This window comes from Homo sapiens, chromosome X (assembly GCF_000001405.40).
Source record: "Homo sapiens chromosome X, GRCh38.p14 Primary Assembly".
Classification (NCBI taxonomy): Eukaryota; Metazoa; Chordata; class Mammalia; order Primates; family Hominidae; genus Homo; species Homo sapiens.
The window spans coordinates 134,184,086-134,206,323 of record NC_000023.11 but is presented as its reverse complement, the minus strand read 5'-3'; the positions used below and the strand labels follow the sequence as shown (position 1 = coordinate 134,206,323).

At 37.9% G+C, this 22,238-nt stretch overlaps 1 pseudogene; it reads right to left on the bottom strand.

The window, feature by feature from the left end:
* Positions 1,451–2,615, bottom strand: LARP1BP3 (LARP1B pseudogene 3; annotated as a pseudogene).

Sequence of the window (22,238 nt, the reverse complement as noted above, 5' to 3'; positions counted from 1 at the left end):
CAGATCTAGGTCTTTTCACTTCTACACTTCTTCTGCCACCACTGAACTTTATGCTACCAATATCTATCACTTCATTAGCCTCCTCATTGGATGCTTTCTGCCCACTCTTCTCCTCAATCAATCCCTTCTCCCTCCAGCAACCAAAGTGCTCCTTTAAAAATGAAAATTAGATTGTGCCATTTTGCCTTGGTAAAACCCTTCAAGTTACTGCATTTGAACTTCAAATTTCAAACTACTTAACATTGCCCATAAAACCTTGTATGATCTAACTGCTGCCTTTATACCCCTAATTGTCCTCTTATACTATAGATGAACTGACTTTAGTTTTTGAGATGGAGTCCCCAGGCTGAAGTGCAGTGTTCATAACAATATCATTGATACATGCTATATGGATATGTGACATATTAATATATAATAATGATATTATTGATAACTTTAGCAAGTTCAGATTAAAATTCTTGCCCAAGACACATTATTGTTGTTTGATACCCTCTAGGATGCTTTCTCATGTAAGGCAGAGTACGGATTAGAATAAAAATCTTTTCTGAATCCTGATCATCAATTTTCTAATCTGAATCATTATCAGACCAATCAGTAAATGTGTTTTTCATTCTTCTATATTTCACTTCTTCATCAAATAAAATATCAAGTTCTTCTCATTCTCATTACTTTAGAGGATGTAGTTGACTTCTCTCATCAGATACAGACATTGATTCTTTCCATTTCACTGGAGGTGGTTGATGATTCTTTTTTACTTCTTTTTTTCTTTTTCTTTATTTTTTTTGAGATGGAGTTTTGCTCTTGTTGCCCAGGCGGGAGTGCAATGGTGCGATCTCGGCTCACCGCAACCTCCGCTTCCCAGGTTCAAGCGTTTCGCCTGCCTCAGCCTCCCGAGTAGCTGAGGTTACAGGCATGCGCCACCACGCCCAACTAATTTTGCATTTTTAGTAGAGACAGGGTTTCTCCATGTTGGTCAGGCTGGTCTCGAACTCCTGACCTCAGGTGATCCACCCACCTCGGCCTCCCAAAGTGCTGGGATTACAGGCATGAGCCACTGCGCCCAGCCGATCCTTTTTTACTTCTATCCAACTACTATGGTCTGAATGTTTGTGCCCTTCTCAAACTCATGTGTTAAAATCCTAACTTCTAGGGTGATGATATTAAGAGATGGGGCTTTTTGGAGGTGATTAGGTCATGAGGGTAGAGCTCTCATGAGTGTGATTAGTGTGTTTACAAATGAGTTCCAAGAATGACCCGTTGCCCCTTCCACCATGTGAAGGCAAAATGAGAAGATGCCATCTATGAAGCAGGCCCTCACCAGACATCAAATCTGCAGGTGCCTTGATCTTGGACTTCCCAGCCTCCAAAACTGTGAGAAATAGTTTCTGTTGTTTATAAGCCACCCAGTCTATGGTATTTTATTATAGCAGCCCAAATGGACTAAGACACTAAGGCTCTGAGTCTAAATGGGGCAAATTGGTAGACAAACTTCTAGATTGCTTGAAGACTGCTTGTTTCAGTATTTTCTTTGGACTCAGTGGACTTCCAATTCTTGTAGAATATAGGACAGACTCTCTGTATGTTAGCCAAAGGCTTGGCCTAGTATGAATTCTGAGCAATTGATCATTTGAGAGAAGTCTGTGGCATACTTGATAGAAGACAATCAGGAAAGGGCTATTTATCTTGTTCTTTTTTCTCATGCTCTCGTTCACAATTTCCATTTCTGTGCTATTGCTTAATGTCTCTAAAATAAGATTAAGCTTTATAGTGAGTCTGAATGTGGTGGAAACCAGCTATCAGGGAAATAGGCAAGAAGCCATGTTCATACATCTGTTTTCTAAGATATTTCCACTCCGAATTTTCTTTTACCGAAGTAACATTTTAATTTGGCACTTAATATACTCTTGATGCAATGTTTCTTTTACAGGATATACCTGTATGCCAGTAGTATCATCATAGTAATATATCATCCTGGTATTAAGTTCTGTTTGAAATGGTTGATCAACTTTTTTACCATGTTCTTGATAACTATAAGAATAATGAAATAATCCTCATTTGAGGATTTCCTCTGCCTCATTTTCATTCTCATCTCTGTCTTTGGCCTGGCCTCTTCCCAAGTCTCTAAAGGAACTTGCCACCCTCACTTATACTGGAAACTTTATATTAATCATCTCTCTATTTTTGTCTATCTTGCCTTCAATTTTGTATATCATTTTGCCTATTGTTATGTGTAATTTATTTGCTTCAGGTTTCGGAATCCTGTAAGATGTTTAGGATACTGGTCTTTATTGATTATGTGGTCCTACATCATCTAAGTGGAGTGGTACCCACTTGTGCTTATTAACTTTCTTTCCTTAATTACTTGACTGAGCCTCATCTTCATTGATGTTTTCACCAGGGCCGTCAAGTTTTATTTTATGGTTTGTTCTCACTGTGGTTTCTCTCTTCAACCTTCTCTTCTTTTCTATTTTGTGTCTTCTTTTTTTGACTGATGACCCTCTGACATCTAGTGTTCACCAATTCTCTTGATGTTGCTCAATTTGCTTTATCACTGAAATAAATCACTAGCCTCATTGTATTTCTTAAGTTTCCTTTTATAATTTTTGGGGAACTGAGCTCAGCTCCTGCCTTTGCCAGGCCACCACCCATGGTAGCTGACTGACAAGCCAATTTGTATGCCGCTGGCCTAGGAGCTGGCCCCACACCTGAGTTAATTTTTGTATATGTTGTGAAGTAAGAGTCTAATTTTATTCTTTTGCATGTGAACGTTCAGTTGTCCCAGAACCATTTGTTGTAAAGATTGTTCTTTCCCTTTTGAATTGTCTTGGCACTCTTGTCAAAAATCAACTGGCCATAGAAGTATGGGTTTATTTCTGGACTCTCTATGTTGTTTGGTTGACCCATATGTCTATCCTTATGGCAGTAACACAAAGTCTTGATTACCATAGCTTTATAGAAATTTTTGAAATCAGAAAGTATGAGTTCTCCAACCTGTTTTTGTTGCTTGTTAAATGTATTCCTTAGTATTCTATTCTAAGAATTGTAAATGGGAATGTTTTCTTAATTTCTAGTGTAAATGAGATTGTTAATTTCATTTTTGGGGTGTTCATTGCTAGTGTATAGAAATACAAGTGATTTTTGTATATTGATCTTGTATCCTGCAACCTTGCCGTACTGGTTTATTAGTTCTAAGAGGTTTTTATTTTTCTGCTAGTTATTTAGGATTTTCTGTAAAAATTTGTAATTTAAAAATTTCCCCCCACCAAAGAAACTCCAGGCCCAGATCGTTTCACTGGAGAATTCTACCAAATGATTAGTGATTTAATTCCAATTACACATAATTTCATCCAGAAAACGGAAAAGGAGGGAACCCTTCCCAATTTATTTTATGGAGCTAGTGTTACCTCTGACACCATACTAGCAGGGAAGGGAAGGAGCACCTCACTACTGCTAGAAGTGGCATGTCTAAGCTCTCCATGTGATTGCCGTTGAGATCCTTGGGGGAAAGCTTACTATGGGTCAGCAGAGATGACAGTCCTGGCTCCTGACTTGGCATTCTTTGACACTTCCCTGGTGGGGGTGTTGTAGCACCTCTTTACTGCCTTGCTAGTGTGGAATTCTAAGCTCTTCACTTGGCATTTGTTGATGTGGATGGGGGTGGGACTACAGTTTTTTTCTGTGGTGTTTGGCTGGAGTACAGTAGTTATTACAAAATGTTTTCTTTTTTCTTAGGCTGCCCCTTTCCTGGTGCTTTGGCTAGAGAGCACAAGTTTTTACTGGGGCTCTTTTTTATCTGTTCCTATCGGCATTTTGAGGTTGCCAGTTTCTTCATCTCCATGTTTAGGATATATAAGGCAAAAAGAAAACCCAGGGAACTCAACGCCATGTTATTTGTGTCTCAAGATTCCTAGCCAAAAGATCTGGTCTGTCTTCTCTTCAACTTTCAGAGTCTTCTTATGTTTATTTTATATATAATGTACAGAATTTTTACTTGTACCTAGAGAGAGGAAGAAAGACAAGTGTGTCTATTCCATATTCCTGGAAGAGGATGTCATTTTGATATTTTTTTAAAACAAAGAAACAAAACACTTTAATTCTCAATATTTCTAATATTGTGTTTAAAATTACAGTATACTAAAGTTTTAAGTTATAGTATACTAAATAAATATTCATGTGATTATGGTTTTTTCGTTTCCCTATATATTTATAAATGATAGGAGAGTTTTTAATATTTTGACAAAAAATTTCAGGGTCACTGAAAAATTGTAACTTTTTTCATTAATTATTAATATCTCTTTGCACAGTTCAGCTTGCATGGTCATTTTTACAGTCTAGCATTACCAAGCAAAGAGACTTCCTGTACTATATCCTTTTTTTGTTTTGTTTTTTTTTTTTTTTGAGACGGAGTCTCACTCTATCATCCAGGCTGGAGTGCAGCAACACGATCTCCACTCACTGCAACCTCTGCCTCCTGGGTTCAAGCGATTCTCCTACCTCAGCCTCCCAAGTAGCTGGGATTTACAGGTGTGCACCACCACGCCCAGCTAATTTTTGTATTTTTAGTAGAGATGGGGTTTCGCCATGTTGGCCAGGCTGGTCTTAAACTCCTGAGCTCAAGTGATCCACCTGCCTCAGCCTCCCAAAGTGCTGGGATTACAGGCATTAGCCACCATGCCTGGCCCTATTTCTCCTAAAAAGCAACCACTCAGGCCAGGCGCAGTGTCTCACACCTGTAATCCCAACACTTTGGGAGGCCGAAGCTGGTGAATCACCTGAGGTCATGGGTTCGAGACCAGCCTGGCCAACATGGTGAAACGTCATCTCTACTAAAAATACAAAAATTATCTGGGCATGGTGAAGCGTGCCTGTAATCCCAGCTCTCAGGAGGCTGAGGCAGGAGAATCGCTTGAGCCCAGGAGGCAGAGGGTGCAGTGAGCCAAGATTGCGCCACTGCACTCCAGCCTGGGCGACAGAGCAAGATTCCAAAAAAAAAAAGCAACCACTCAAACAATACTACAGTTATACAGTTATAAATAGTAAGCCGGTCAGGTGCGGTGGCTCACGCCTGTAATCCCAGCACTCTGGGAGGCCGAGGCAGGTGGATCACGAGGTCAGGAGATCGAGACCATCCTGGCTAACATGGTGAAACCCCATCTTTACTAAAAATACAAAAAATTAGCCGGGCGTTGTGGCATGTGCCTGTAGTCCCAGCTACTCGGGAGGCTGAATAGGAAAATGGCTTGAACCCGGGAGGCAGAAGTTGCAGTGAGCCAAGATCGTACCACTGCACTCCAGCCTGGGCGACAGAGCAAGACTCTGTCTCAAAATAAATAAATAAATAAATAGTAAGCCAATAAGGAGATAAAAAGTAATAAATGAAACATAATCCAAAAGAAGGCAGAAAAAGGAAAAAGGAACAAAAAAGAGAGGGGATAAAGAGATACATAGTAAGAAGGCAGACTTAAAGCTAAGCATATCAATACTCACATTAAAAATAAATGGTTAAAACACCCCAGTTAAAAGGTAAGATTCAAGTATATGCTGCATCCAAGAAATACTCTTTAATCTAAAGACACTAATAGGTTAAACCTAAATGTATGGATAAAGATATGCCAACTTGCCACTAATCAAAAGAAAGCTGAAGTGGTTGCATTAGTATCAGACAAAGTAGGTTGCAGAGTAAAAACTATTATCAGGGGTAAGAGCACAATTTCATAATGATAAAGGGGTCAATTATTCAAGAGAATGTAATAAGCCTAAATATTTATGTGACTAATAACAGAGCTTAAAATTACATGAAGCAAAAACTGATCAAACTATAAGAAAAAATAAACAAATCCACAATTGCAGTTGGAGACTTCAACACCCCTCTCTCGATAATTAATAGAACAAATAGGCAGAAAGTCATTAAGGATATAGGAGACCTGAAAAACACTATCAGCTAACTTCACCTAATTGATGTTTACAGACCATTCCACCACCAGGAGCAGAATACATATTTTTTTTTAAGTACACACATTGACCAAGATAAGATATATTCTGAGCCATAAAATAAGTCTTAATAAATTTTAAATGGTTCAAACAAAGTATGTTTTCTGACCACAATGGAATTAAACTAGACATCAGTAACAGAAAGACATTGGGGAAATCCTCAAATATTTGGAAAATAAATAATACACTTTTCAATGACACATAGGTCAAAGAGCTCAAAAGAATTTTAAAAGTCTTTTGAACCAAATGAAAATGAAAACACAAAACATTAAAATTTTTGATATGCAGCTAAAACAGTGTTTAGAAGAAAATTTAGAGTGCTAAATTCCTATGTTAGAAGAGAAGCCAATTCTAAGTTCTCAAATCAATGAATTCAACTTCTACCTTAAAATTCTAGAAAAAGAAAAAATAAAGGCCAAAGTAAGCAGAATGAAGAAAACAATGAAGATTAAAGTAGAAATCAGTAATATAGAAAAGATAAAAACAATAGAGAAAATCAATGAAATTAAAAATTGGCTCTTTGAGAAGATACATAATACTGACAAACTTCCAGCCAAACTGATCAGAAAATAAAGACAGAAGACACTAATTAGTAATATGGAATGAGAGAAATGATATTATTACTGAGATTACAGGTATTAAAAGGACAATAAGGGAATATTATTAACAACTTTATGCCAATAAATTCAACACCTAGATGAAATGAACAAATTATTTCAAAGAAACCTACTGGCCAGGCACAGTGGCTCACACCTGTAATCCATTAGGTGTGGATTACATTAGGAGGCTAAGGAGAGCAGATCACTTGAGCTAAGGAGTTCAAGACCAGCCTGGCCAAAATAGGGAGACTCCATCACTACAAAAATTTTTTTAAGAGATTAGCTGAGCAAGCCAGGCGCGGTGACTCACGCCTGTAATCCCAGCACTTTGGGAGGCAGAAGCAGGCGGATCACGAGGTCATGAGATCAAGACCATCCTGGCTAAAACGGTGAAACCCCGGACTCTACTAAAAAATACAAAAAAATTAGCCAGGCGTGGCAGCGGGCGCCTGTAGTCCCAGATGGTGGCGGGCGCCTGTAGTCTCAGCCTTCGGAGGCTGAGGCAGGAGAATGACGTGAACCGGGAGGCGGAGCTTGCAGTGAGACGAGATCGCGCCACTGCATTCCAGCCTAGGCAACAGAGCAAGACTCTGTCTCAAACAAACAAACAAACAAACAAACAAACAAACAAAGAAATTAGCTGGGCATGGTGGTGCATGCCTATAGTCCCAGCTACTCTGGAGGCTGAGGTGGGAGGGCCTGCTTGAGCACAGTAGGTGGAGGCTGCAGTGAGCTGTGATTGCATCACAGCCTCAACAACAGAGGGACACCTTGTCTCAAACAGAAAAAAAAAAAAAAAGATTTCCAGATTGTGAAGAAAGAAATAAGGCCATTTCTATTGTAGAAAATCCTCTAATGTAATTGACCAAAAAGCTACTAGAACTAGTAAGCGAACTTAGTAAGCTTAGTAAGGTTGTAGGATGCAATATCAATATCCAAAAATTAATTATATTTCTATATATTAGCAATGAACAATGGGAAATTCAAATTAAAGACAATATTTTTGCAATAAGATAAGAAATATGAAATATTTAGAGATGAATCTGGTTAAAAATGTGAAAAATCTGTACACTGTAAACTACAAAATGTTATTGACAGAAATTTAAAAAGATCTAAATAGATGGAGAGATACACTGTGTTCATGGATTAAGACTCAATACTTTTAAATATTAGTTCTCCCTAAATGGATCTAGAGGTTCAAAACAGTCCCAATCCAACTCTCAGCAGAGGTTTCAAATAGAAATTGATAAGCTGATTCTGAAATTCATATAGAAATGTAAAGGACCTAAAATAGTAAAAACAATTAAAAAATGTTAGAGGGCTAAGACTACTTGATTTCAAGATATAAAGCTACAGTAATCAAAAGCGTGTGGCATTGGTGTAAAGACAAATAGATTGATATGACAAAATGTAGACAGAAATAGACCCACATATATAGGGACAATTGATTTTTTACAAAGTGCAAATGCAACTCAATGGAGAAAATATCATCTTTTCAACAAATGGTACTGAAACATTTTAATATCTATACACAAAAAATTTTATCCTTACTTTACTCAATACACAAAAGTTAACTCCAAATGTGTCACAGACCTAGTCTAAACTACAGTCCTAAAACTAAAATTTCTAGAAGAAAACTTTAGAGAAAATCTGTTTTGAACTTGGGTTAGACAAGTATTTCTTAGATATAGTAACAAAAGCACATCTATGAAAGAAGAAATTAATAGATTGGATTTCATCAAAATCTAAAACTTCTGCTCTTCAAAGGATACTGCTTAAGAGAAAGTAACGGCATTGACTAGAAGAAAATAATTGCAAATATTATATTTGATAAAGGACTAGTATAGAGAATATATAGAGAACTCCTACAGCTGAATAATATAAAGACAAGTAACCCAATTAAGAAAAAAGGGATAAGTTTTTGTTTGTTTGTTTGTTTGTTTTTGTAGAGATAAGGTCTCGTTGTTGTGTTGCCCAAACTGCTCTCAAGCTCCCGGCCTCAAGCAATCCTCCCACCTCAGCCTCCCCAAATGCTGGGATTACAGGCATGAGCCATCACACCCGGCCAGGCAAAAGTTTTGGGTTTGCTGTTGTTGTTGTTGTTGTTGTTGTTGTTGTTGTTGTTGTTTTGAAACAGAGTCTCACTCTGTCACCCAGGCTGGAGTACAGCCTGGACTCCCAGGTTCAAGTGATTCTGGTGCCTCAGCCTCCTGAGTAGCTGGGATTTCCATGCTCAGCTAATTTTTTTTTTTAATTTTTAGTAGATGGGCTTTCACCATATTCTCCAGGCTGGTATCGAACTCCTGGCCTCAAGTGATCCACCCACCTCGACCTCCCAAAGTGCTGGGATTACAGGCACGAGTCATCATGCCGGGCCCTAAGGCAAAAGTTTTGAACAGACACTTTACTAAAGAAAATATATAGTTTGCAAATGAATACATGGAAAACATACTCAATGCCATTAGCCGTTAACAAAATGCAAATTAAAACCACAATGAGATGTCACTGCATACCTATTACAGTAACTAAAACTAAAAAGACTGATTATTCCACATGTTGACTAGGATGTGGAAAATCTCTAATTACTGTACACTGCTGATAGGAATGTAAAATGGTACAACCACTTTGAAAAACAATTTGGCAATTTCTTCAAAAGTTTAATGTATACTTGTTAGATGATTCAGCCATTCTACTCCTAGGTATTTATCCAAGAGATGTGAAAACATACATCCATTCAAAGACTTGTACGTGGATAGTCATAACAACTTTATTTGTAACAGCCACAAACTGAAAACAACTCAAATGCCCATTCAGAGGTGAATCGATAAATTCTGGAACAGTCACACAATGAAATACTATTCAGCAAGAAAAAGGAATGAACTTTTGTTACACGCAACAGTATGTATGAATCTCAAAATAATTATGTTCAGTAAAAGAAACCAGACAAGATGACTAAGTACTGCATAATTCCAGTTATATGAACGTTTTAAAGGTGCAAACTAATCTACAATGACATAAAGCAGGTCAGAGGTTTTCTGAGGATGAGTTGGGCAGGAGGGGGGCACTACAAAGGGGCAGGAGGAAAGTTTTAGGGGTGATATGTTCACTATCTTGACAGTGGTGATAGTTTTGTGAGTATATACTTATGGCAATAATTATGAAATGATATACTTTGCTTTCTTCAACTTTTATTTTAAATTCAGGGGTACATGTGAAGGATGTGCAGGTTTGTTACGTAGGTAAACATGTGCCATGGTGGTTTGCTGCACAGATCATCCCATCCCCTAGGTATTAAGCCCCGCATCCATTAGCTATTCTTCCTGATGCTCTCCCTCCCCACACTCCACAGGCCCCAGTGTGTGTTGTTCCCCTTCAAGTGTCTATGTGTTCTCAGAAATGATACACTTTTTAAATTAACAAATAAAATTAGATATATTTATGGTGTACAATATGATGTTTTGAAATATGTATACATTGTTGGATAGTTAAATCAAGCTAATTAACATATGCATTACCTCACATACTTGTCAATTTTTGTGGTGAGAGTGCTTAAAATCTATTTTTTTCAGCAATTTTCAAGAATGAAATACTATATTGTTATTAACTATAGTCACCATGTTGTACAATAGATGTCTTAAATTTATTCCTCCTCTCTAACTGAACTTCTGTATCCTTTGATCAAAAGCTCTCAATCCCTCCACAGCCTGTGGTAATCATCATTCTACTTTCTACTGCTATGAGTTTGACTTTTTTAGACTCCATATATAAATGAGATTATGTGCTATTTGCCTTTATGTGTCTGGCTTATTTTCTGTAACATAATATCCTCTAGGTTCATCCACGTTGTCACAAATGACAGGATTTCCTTCATTTTGAGGCTGAATAGTATTCCATTGAATATGTATACCACATTTTCTTTATCCATTCACCCATGGATGGACACTTAGGTTGATTCCATACCTTGACTATTGTGAATAGTGCTATAATGAACATGAGAATGCAGATATGTCTTTGACATACTGATTTTCAAATGATACAGTTTTAATACATACAATTCATTTTATGTCAATTATACCTCAATAAAGCTGTTTTTAAAGTATTGTCGGCCAGGTGCAGTGGCTCATGCCTATAATCCTAGCACTTTGGGAGGCCGAGGCGGGTGGATTGCCTGAGCTCAGGAGTTCGAGACCAGCCTGGGCAACATGGTGAAACCCCGTCTCTACTAAAATGCAAAAGAAATTAGCTGGGCTTGGTGGCATGTGCCTGTAGTCCAAGCTACTTGGGAGGCTGAGGCAGGAGAATTGCTTGAACCCAGGAGGCAGAGAGGTTGCAGTGAGCCAAGATCGTGCCACTGCACTCCAGCCTGGGCAACAGAGACCCCATCTCTAAAAAATAAAAAATAAAAAAAGGATTGTCAAAAGAGGAATAAGAATATTGAACATTTTAGACAGCCTGATTCTTTTAAAAGAGATTGTAGGATAAGATAGTATTAATCTCTAAGAAACATATGTGTTTTGAAAACGAAACATCGTTTTGTCACAGCGCCATTATTTGTTTGTAGTAACAATATTTCTCTTTCTTTCTTTCTCTTTCTTTCCTTCTTTCTTTCTTTCTCTCTCTCTTTCTCTCCCTTCTTTCCTTCCTTCCTTCCTTCCTTCCTTCCTTCCTTCCTTCCTTTCTTTCTCTTTTTTTCAGAGTCCTGCTCTGTCACCAGGCTGGAATGCAGTGACTGATCTTGGCTCACTGTAACCTCCGCCTTCCCGGGTTCAAACAATTCTCCTGCCTCAGCCTCCCGAGTAGCAGCTGGGATTACAAGCACCGGCCACCATGCCCAGCTATTTTTTTTTTTTTAGTAGAGATATGGTTTCTCCACGTTGGCCAAGCTGGTCTTGAACTCCTGACCTTGTGATCCACCCACCTTGGCCTCCCAAAGTGCTGGGATTACAGGGGTGAGCCACCGCGCCCGGCCAACAATATTTATTTTCAAATTTCAAATAGCACTGAAGGAGGACATGACATTTTTAGATGTATCAAAAGAGCGGCATGGGGTTTTAAAGGTTACAAAATTAAAATTAAAAAGAACTTTTTCAGCATCTCTTTTTCTATTGTTTTAGATACACAGGTTTTTTTTTAAGTTAAGCAATTAAGGAGAAAGAAAAAGAAGAAGGTCTTCCTGTACCCTTTTCCCACTCTAATCTTACCCCTAGAAGTCACTGACATGAATATCGCCCTATTTTCTACAATATATAAGTAGCGAGAGAAATAACTTTTTTATTTTTGTTTTTGTTTAGACTCCATTGGGATCACACTACACATAGGGCCCAATACATATAGATCACCTTTATTCTGCATGATATTCCAATGCCTGATGTACTTTAATATATTTAACTAGTCACTCATTCATAAATATTTAATCTGTTTCCCTCTGTTTGCTATTTCAATATTGCAATGGACATTCTTTTTTTATATATACTTTAAGTTCTAGGGTACATGTGCACAATGTGCAGGTTTGATACATAGGTATACATGTGCCATGTTGGTTTGCTGCACCCATCAACTCATCATTTACATTAGGTATTTCTCCTAATGCTATCCCTCCCCCAGCCCCCCACCTCCTGACAGGCCCCCAGTGTGTGATGTTCCCCGCCCTGTGTCCAAGTGATCTCATTGTTCAGTTCCCACCTATGAGCGAGAACATGCGGTGTTTGGTTTTCTGTCCTTGTGATAGTTTGCTGAGAATGATGGTTTCCAGCTTCATCCATGTCCCTGCAAAGGACATGAACTCATCCTTTTTTATGGCTGCACAGTATTCCATGGTGTATATGTGCCACATTTTCTTAATCCAGTCTATCATTGTTGGACATTTAGGTTGGTTCCAAGTCTTTCCTATTGTGAATAGTGCCGCAATAAACATACGTGTGCATGTGTCTTTATAGCAGCATGATTTATAATCCTTTGGGTATATACCCAGTAATGGGATGGCTGGGTCAAATTGTAATTCTAGTTCTAGATCCTTGAGGAATCGTCACACTGTCTTCCACAATGGTTGAACCAATTTACACACCCACCAACAGTGTAAAAGCATTCCTATTTCTCTACATCCTCTCCAGCATCTATTGCTCCCTGACTTTTTAATGATTGTCATTCTAACTGGCGTGAGACGGTATCTCACTGTGGTTTTGATTTGCGTTTCTCTGATGACCAGTGATGATGAGCATTTTTTCATGTGTCTGTTGGCTGCATAGATGTCTTCTTTTGAGAAGTGTCTGTTCATATCCTTTCCCCACTTTTTGATGGGGTTGTTTGTTTTTTCTTGTAAATTTGTTTGAGTTCTTTGTAGATTCTGGATATTAGCCCTTTGTCAGATGGGTAGATTGCAAAAATTTTCTCCCATTCTGTAGGTTGCCTGTTCACTCTGATGGTAGTTTCTTTTGCCGCGCAGAAGCTCTTTAGTTTATTTAGATCCCATTTGTCAATTTTGGCTTTTGTTGCCATTGCTTTTGGTGTTTTAGTCATGAAGTGCAATGGACATTCTTAAACAATGTTTACTGTATTTGTGGGCATATATTTGTAGAAAGACATTTGAGAAGTGACTTTGGGAAGACTTTGAGAAAGTCACAAAGCCAGGATAGCAGGGCGATATAGAGTGGTTAAGTGCATGGACACTGGCCCCAAAGAGATTCCAGGGATTTGCACTGCTTGTATCACTGTTTGGAAAGTGCCCTTCAGTTTCCCCACAACCTTGCCAAAATGGGAAGGTGAATAATACTGTTTGAACCTACATGTTAACTGTGAGTGAGGATGAACTTTTTTTAATGCTTTTCTGGATATTTGTATTTCTTTAAAGAAGCACTTTCCTCAAGTGAGCCGGAAATTCATAGAAATATGTGCCGCTTTAAGGGAATCCAGCCATTAGAAAAAATATAATATGCTTCCATGTTACTTGCACTTTAAAAAATAAAACCTTCTATTGCTGATATATGTGCTAAATGTATAAAGACAAGAACAATAGAAGTACGGTTTTCTGTCATTTAAGAAATAGACCAATGATCTGTAATGTGCCATGGGCAGTAAAACATATGGTGGGAATTAAGATTTTCAGAGGGATAGAAAGGATGGCTTGTTTCTTTCACTGGCTAAAAGGTTATGACCCATCATGCACCACGTGACCTGTCAAGACCTACTGACCCACCAATTATCCTGTGGAAAATTAAACTCGCTAACTCTTCCTAACTTTCGCCTAAATCTACAGCTCTTGCTGTGTTCCCCCTCTCTGTTAAAGGCATCACATCTACCACGTCGGCCAAGCTAGAAATCGGGGGGTCGTCACCATTTCTTGCTCTGCCCCATGCAGCTGTTCCCCACCCTCACCCCTTTCACTGAGTCTTTTGTGAGGAGGAAACAAGGTAACAAGTCTAGAATTACCCAGCATAACTTTAGAGAGGCAGTGGTCAGGACAAGGGAAATTTCATTCTGTTACTTTTCACAACACACACAAAGAACAGCAGCAACAACACCACATTTTTAAAAAGGCAATGCCTCCTTACCAGTGGTCTACAGCTTTCCACACTGTCTACCTGAGGCTTCTGCCCTACTTGTTCAACTGTATATCTGAAGGAATTGGCGTACAGGACACTCACCATTCACTAGGCAAGAATAATGGAGTTGTCCATGTGGAACATATTAATTGAAAAATACACTAATCTTTTTACTTTATAAATAGATAGGATGCTAATGATTTCTTTTCTTCTTACAGATCAGTATTGTTATTTTAAACTTTGGCTTGGAAGGAAAATTAGATGGAATGCTCTCAGAAAGATTTTGGAGGGGAGGTCATATGAAGGCAAAGGCAGAACGTCTAAACAGCAGTGGGAAGTGAAATAAAAATCTACAGTCACCACCTCCTGACCTAGTTATAGGTTATCAGTATCTCCTCTACCACAAAGCATATTTCTGGCCCATGTGTTCTACCACCTTCTGTTGGTGGGTGCTCAGAGACTACAAATTCACTTTAATATGTCTATTATCCTCAGAAAAACATAATTAAGAACATAAATAGACTGCTTCTAAAAATAATATTGTGCGTTTAAAAACAAAATATTATGAGGTTTGGATTATCTGCTGTTTCAGATTATCTCTGCCACTGCTCCAGAGGGTAGAATTTCCTCTGCAGCTTAGTATCCCTTGAAAACATGTGTTTAGTTATAAACATAAGTCCCTCTGGGGAATCTCCAAATGGAAATGTTTCTCTCATTTGTGAGTGAGAAGTGCATGTCTTTCCTTTGACACAAAGGAGAGCATTAATGCTTGCCAATTTGCAGATAATTTCAAAATGTGTTTTGACCTCCAAACTTTTACTAGTCGGCAGAAATTTTTATAGCATCTATTTGGCAATGAGCATGAGTCAACTCAAGAACCTCAGTTATTAACTATGGGTATGGGCTATATTTTAAAGTGTTAATTAAATGAAACATTTTTTTTATTAGAAAAGTAATTAATGTCTCTTTCTTACCCCATTCTTCTATAACACCCAGCCCCTTCTCCAGGGGCAACCACTCTTAGCAATTTCTTTAAAACATTTTTAGAAATAACCTATACAAATCCATGTATACATGTGTATATTTATCTCCCTTTTTTACATAAATGGAAGCATATTATTCATACTGTTTTACATTATTTTTTGCTTGCTCTATCTTGGAAGCTGTTCCATATCAGGAGATACACTCACATAGCACACACCTCTTCTTAATAATATCATAATATTCCATTGTGTGGGTCTACATTAATTGATTTAGCCAATTCTTATTATAGATAAATAGGCTGTTTTTAGATTTCTATTCTATTACAAGAAATATTGACATCTCCCCTTTCCCCTTTAAAAGGGAAAATGCAAAAGATATGCAGTGGTAAAGCAAATAGCACAACTTTAACAATAACCACCTAACTCACGGGCAAAGTTGTTTCATTTATAACCCTCCACTCGCCCTAATAGATTATTTCGAGGCAAACTTCTTCCATAGATATTTAATTATATATTATAAGAACACTTTTTTTAAAAAAAGTACCATTACCATTACTCAAAAAGTTAAAAATAATTTATTGATATCAATAACATCCTGTGTTCAGATTTGCCATATGAACTATTGTTTAGAGCTGGTATATTAAAATCAGAATGCAAACAAGGTCCACACATTGCATTTGACTAATATGCCTCTTCAGTTTATAAATCCCTTTCTTTTTTTCCTTGCAATATATTTGTTGACAAATCTGTGTGGTTTGTCCTTCAGTTTTCTACATTCTGGGTTTTGCTGACTGCATTGCGTGGTGTTGTTTAACATGTTCTCCTCTCTTCCCTCTATTTCCTGCAAACTAAGTGGTTTGATCAGGGGACTTTATCAGATTCAGGCTTCATGCTTTGGTAAGAATACTTCCTAGATGGTGTTGTGTACTTTTCTCGAGAGACCATAGGCATTCTTGTATATAGGTATGAATGTGATTGTAGGATAAATACCTCCAAGTAAAATTGCTTATTCTATTTTTTATTTTGATAGGTATTAACAAATTACCAAATTGTCCTGCACAGAAATTGTACCAACTTACATTCCCACCTGAAATTAAATGAGAGTTTCTGTTTCCCCATACCGACATTGTTTTATCAAGCTCTTTTTAGTCTCTGCCAATCTGATACATGAAAAATGTTATCTTGTCAAGTGCTAACACAATTTAGATTTGACTAGAACTAGATTTCGTGTTGCTGCAGCCCAGTTTCTTTGTAAATTAGCTCACATGAGTCAATGTTGTAGGTCAACTTGTTTATAACTGTTGTAACACTGCAAATTATCTATATGAGCCAAAATGAATTGGCAAGGGTAACATATTTGTTACAACTTAATATCAAAGCGTGTGTGCAATGCTACCACCTTTGGTTTGTCAGAGCAGATGCAGCTGAAAGAAATCTTGTGTGTATACATATTTAGAAAATTGGTAGAATTTCCTCATTTCAACACCCATGTCTTAAGCATTCGCTCTGTGCCAAGCATGTGGAGGGATCCCATGATAGACTAAGACCAAGGTCTTCGCACCAGTGAGCTTTCAGTCTAGTAAGGGAGGTGAGACACTTAATCATAATGCAGTTATAGTTTAGAGAGGGGAGAGGTCACTTCAGCTGCAGGGATAAGGAGGTGGTATTTCAAATGGGCCTTGAAGGATGGCTAAGTCCCAGAAATGCTTATCAGATGGGGATAACATTCCAGATGTCAGGAAGGGCACACACAAAGGCTGGAGATTAAAAAAAAGTGCAGGACATAGTCAGGGAATCCTGAAAAAGCCATTTAGGTATGGAGTAGGTAAAGGACCCCCGAGAAATTGGAGGGACCACAAGCCGGGAAACAGAAAACTAACCTAATTAGCATAATTATTTATAAGACACAAAGTTTTGAATGAGTAAGAGGAAATAATTGTTACTATAAAAAGTAAAAGGCCCAACAGGTAATTTAAAAAAAAATAGTATCACATGAGGCCGGGCACAGTGGCTCACACCTATAATCCCAGTGCTTTGGGAGGCTGAGGTGGAAGGATGATTTGAGGTCAGGAATTTGAGACCAGCCTGGGCAACATAGTGAGACCCTAGTCTCTATAGAAATTTTAAAAATTAGCTGCTCATGGTGGCACACACCTGTAGTCTCAGCTACTCAGGAGGCTGAGGTGGGAGGATCACTTGAGTCTGGGAGGTCGAGGTTGCAATGAGCCAAGATCACGCCACTGTACTCCAGCCTGAGCAACAGAACAAGACCCTGTCTCAAAAAATATTAAAGAATAAAATTTTAAAATAGTATTATTTATGGATGTTTGAATAGCAGTCACTACAACATGTTACTGTATCTTTTCTTAACAATTTTCAGTGATAATTTTATGTGCATTTAATGAATGCCAACCAAATGCAGTTTCTATAGCATTCTACATAGCCTGCTTAGGAAAAAAAAAATGGAGGAAACCACATTTCTTCCTTGCTTAATCAAAGCTAAATGGCATTGAGACACAGAGGTTTTATTATTGTTATTGTTATTATTATTATTATTATTATTACAATTTAGAGTAACAAACAACTCTTGAAGGAAATTTTCAGAATTCTTAATAATTATACCAAATCCACAGCCTCAGTTAATTTCTCCACATTGTGACTGGGGAAGAGACATCAATCATCTTAGAAAGCTGGGATTCTTTGGACAGCAAGCTATAGCAACAATCAGCGTTTTCTGCGCCGGATAAGATTCATTTCCAAGAATAGGTATCCTTTGAAGCAGTGTTGTCCAATAGAACTTTCTGCAAAGATAGAAACATTGTGTATCTTCACTGTTCAATGTAGAAGCCACTAGCTACATGAGGCTATTGAGCATTTGAAATGTGGCTAATAAAACTGAGAAACTGGATTTTTCATGTTATTTGTCATTAACTCAACTTTAAAATAGCCATATTCGACTAGTGGCTAGAGGTGTAGCATTTAACTAAAAGTGGCTATTAATTTTTCCCTGAAAGATTGAGTTATTGATTAAAATAACATACACAAGTACTGCATAAACTCACAAAGCATTTTAATGTTCATGTTACAACAAAGACAAGATGTAGTCTGGAGCAACAGGACTTTTCACACCCAGAGAATTCCACATAGAGGCAATGGTAATTGACTTCTTTTTGCCAAGTTTACTGGGTTCTATTCTTTTAACAAAGGCAAGCATGCATGCCTATGTTGTACAACACACTTTAAAGCACAGATAAAGCTTAAACTTTTAAGTGGCAATAATAAATGTAGTAATAATGCTGTTAAATTATTTGAGTTTGACTAAGTTGGATTTTCTTTTTCTCCAAGTGTCTTGAAGGCTACCCCTCTGGATGCTTCATGCAGTGGAGATATGCCTTCAGTTATTAATCAAGGGTCTGTTTTGCAGACTTTTTAAAATGGAATTTCAGATTCATTAGAACAAAAGGATGCACTTTTCTCGACCTTGGGAGCTTGTGACTATTTGGAGATGAAAAGAGTAGTGACACTAAGGAAAACTATTGTCCAGAAAAATAAGCCTCTCCAAGGGGGCACCAGGAATCCACAATAAAATCCCTGTTTCCAAGAAAATCCACGCATTTCCATCAAAAAAGCCTGGAAAGATAAATAGAATGTCCTTATAAGCCACAGGTTTTTAATAATACAAAATGTCTAAGTCCAGAGTAAACAAGGAGCTAAGAAAAACTAACATCTACTAACTCAAGTTTCTCAAGACCCAGGTCGTGACCTAGAGCCTGATCACAAGGTATTTTCAAAAGAGCTGCTTTTCCTGCGCCTGAGATGAGTTTATTTTATGGAACTTATTTGGCTACGGAGCTCTACAACTGCACAGAATTTTAGAACCAGGTGAATTACGACAACTCTTTCAATCCACAACAATAAGAAGTGGGATTTGGGGGCTAATTTAAAAAATGATGTCAACGTCCTCCATATAGCAACCAAAACAAACCAGGCTGATTTGCCGAATCTGAAGTTAACACTTATTTTCATCTTATCATTATCCTAATATATTCGTTCCTTTCTCACCTGATTTCCCAAAAGTGATTAGTGAAGCTTTTCAAAATGTGATGAATTTTTCATCTTCAATGCTTTCTGTACGAACTATTCAAGTATTGTTCTTTCCAATTTCAACCCTCTAGGAGGCAGAAGTCAACAGATCTCTCTTCCCTTTGTTGCAGGAGCTATTTAAACTTTCTGCTATACCACATCCTTTCTCTGACCGCGCTGACTTCCAGGAACTAACCTGTGGTTTTGCAAACAGAGTATTTTCCATAGCAGGTTGTACTAGTTATTACTGACATTCGTATATTCTGAAGGTGTGCCCCAGGGGTTTTACAATGGGCTAGTAAAAAAAAATTCAAAGAGCAATAAACAAAAAACAAGAGTCTTGCTCAACCACCTAAATGTTAATTCATTTGTTTTTTTTTACTTAGCATTTTGTTCACTGACTTAGGCTCAGCAAATGTGAAAAGAAAGAACAAAACTGATTCCCCATGGTCCCTAAAGTGTTTTTCTCATGACTTTTATAAATAATTCAAGAATACATAATTTTTCTTCTGAAAGTTCTGTTAACGGCTCCTGAGAATTAAGCTGTCACTACTGAGTCACTTTTCTGCGCTGGGACTGGCTCTGCTGCCTTTCAGTCCTTTATCCAACGTCTGTGAGACCATCTTCTTTCATAGTTGGGGATTTATTTAATGTAAACTATTTTTATTTTTTAATGATTTAGAATAAATTATGTAGGCTAGCAAAAAAATCATTAAAAAGCAGACTCTCGTCATGCTTATTAGAAGACCAGTTTTCTGGGCACTTTTAGAAAGTCAGGTTGAGGTTGTATGTCAGAGTTCAAGTTTCACAGCCATCTCCACTTTGAAACATAATATATAAAAGCTGTGGTTTTTTTTTTCAAGAAATCAAGTGTGTTTTGTGCTTAAGTGGGAAACATTTCAACATTTCAACTGTAGTCAAGCTCTTCACTTTGAAATAGAAGGATCCGAGGAAAGAGTGATGGCTAGTTTGCTGCTGAAAGAAAGAATCTCTGTGAGATGTTACTGCTGTACTTTTGGCTGAAATGGTGACCAGCACTAATCCTAAAGGTCAAGCTGATAACAATACTTTTTCCAGTAGGGCGTTTGAATATCATTAAAAAAACTAAATCTATTAAATGAAAGGGCTAAGCTAAGCCCAACCTCTTCATACTGATAATTATACAATTTCAATTTTGTTATTTACACATAAGGGCTCAGAATTAGGGCAGCAGGGCAGTTCAATTGTATGATCATATCTTAACCCTCAAATAACTTAATATGTCCTTGGCCTTTTGAAGCATTTGAGAAGCAATGTAAATGCTTAACCATAGGCATGAACGAGGTAAGGCTGGAGGAATTCACTTTAACTCCGAGTTCTCCAGTTTTAAATTTCTAAAAAACATCAACAGTTTTTGCAAATGCTGACACCCTAAAGGTGGTATTCTGGTAGGGAAGAGAAACATTTGATAAAGTATATATCAGTGAGAACAGACGCTACATTGTTCCATCTCCCACACTTCAACTAGGAAGTCCTAGGCATAAGAAGTATTTAGTATTAGCTGGGTGTGGTGGCGTGCACCTGTAATCCCAGCTACTCAGGAGGCTGAGGCGGGAGAATTGCTTGAACCAGGGAGGTGGAGGTTGCAGTGAGCCAAGATAACGCCACTGCACTCCAGCCTGGGCGATGACAGAGAGAAACTCCGTCTCAAAAAAAAAAAGTATTTAGTAGATACTAAATTACTTAATTTAGGATGATCTCGGTTCTAGTTCAGCTGTGTAACCTTGCGCAAGTCTCTTGAATGTGCTGCGCTGCACTGTTTTGATGAGATGGTCTTTAAGAGCCCTTCCAGCTCTACAATTCTATGATTTTTATGAACACTCTCTGTAGTAGTTTGATGTTTTTCGTCCATGTGTGTATGTGTGTGTGTGTTTGTGTAGGCACAAACCCACACAGATATACACAAACCCTATATATGTGCTATGTACTAGTTGCTATGGGCAACCAACCACAGAAAAGGAAAGCAGTGGTGGCCAAATTTCTCACAGATTTGGAGGGCCTAAGAGGAGCTGAGTCCAAGCTGTATCTATTCACTGCCTCAAGTGAAATGCTACCTAGCCAGTTCTCTGCAGCCTTGGTTCTAGAGCATGGCAGGGGGTTGGGGTGGGATGTAAGGGTGATTAAGCTACAGAGGTTGGAATCATGGCTCCTCCACTTGATCCTTGTGTGGCTTTGGTCAGTTAAATAACTTTAGTTTCCTCAATTGTAAAATGAGGAAATGGTAAAAAGCTTAGCTTTTAGGGCTGTTGTGAGGATTTTATGACTTTATATAAAGCGAAAACACTCAGAAGCGTGCCTGGCACAAACACATTCAATGTTAGCTGATATCATGAGATGAATATGGAGTGAACCCCTTACTAATAGGGATGGCTCAATGATCTGGAAACACTGGCAAATCAATATTAACAGCTAATAGCCATAGTGTGGATGATTAATAAGAGGGAGGTACTATTAATAGAAGTGGTTGGTGCCAGAAGATAGCAAAAATCCTGTGTTGTTCAATATGGTCTCCACTAGCCACATACAGTATTGAGCACTTAAAATGTGCTTAGTCTGAAATGAAAAGTACTGCAAGTATAAAATGCACATCGGATTTCAAAGACTTAGTATCAAAAAGGTAAAATTTCTGATTAATAGTTTTTAATACTGATTATATGTTCAAATGAATATATTTTTGATATATTGGGTTAAATAACATGTTTTATTGAAATTAGTCTCACCTGTTTCTTTTCATTTTTTAAAAGTGGTTACAAGAAAATGTAAAATTGCATGTGCTATGTGTTACTATCTTTCCATTGGACAGTATAATTCTGAAGTGTTAAAGGAATCAACTGGGGCCGGGCATGGTGGCTCATGCCTGTAATCCCAGCACTTTGGGAAGCTGAGGCTGGCGGATCACCTGAGGTCAGGAGTTTGAGACCAGCCTGGCCAACATGGTGAAACCCTGTCTCTGCTAAAAATACAAAAATTAGCCAGGCATGGTGTCAGGCGCCTGTAGTCCCAGC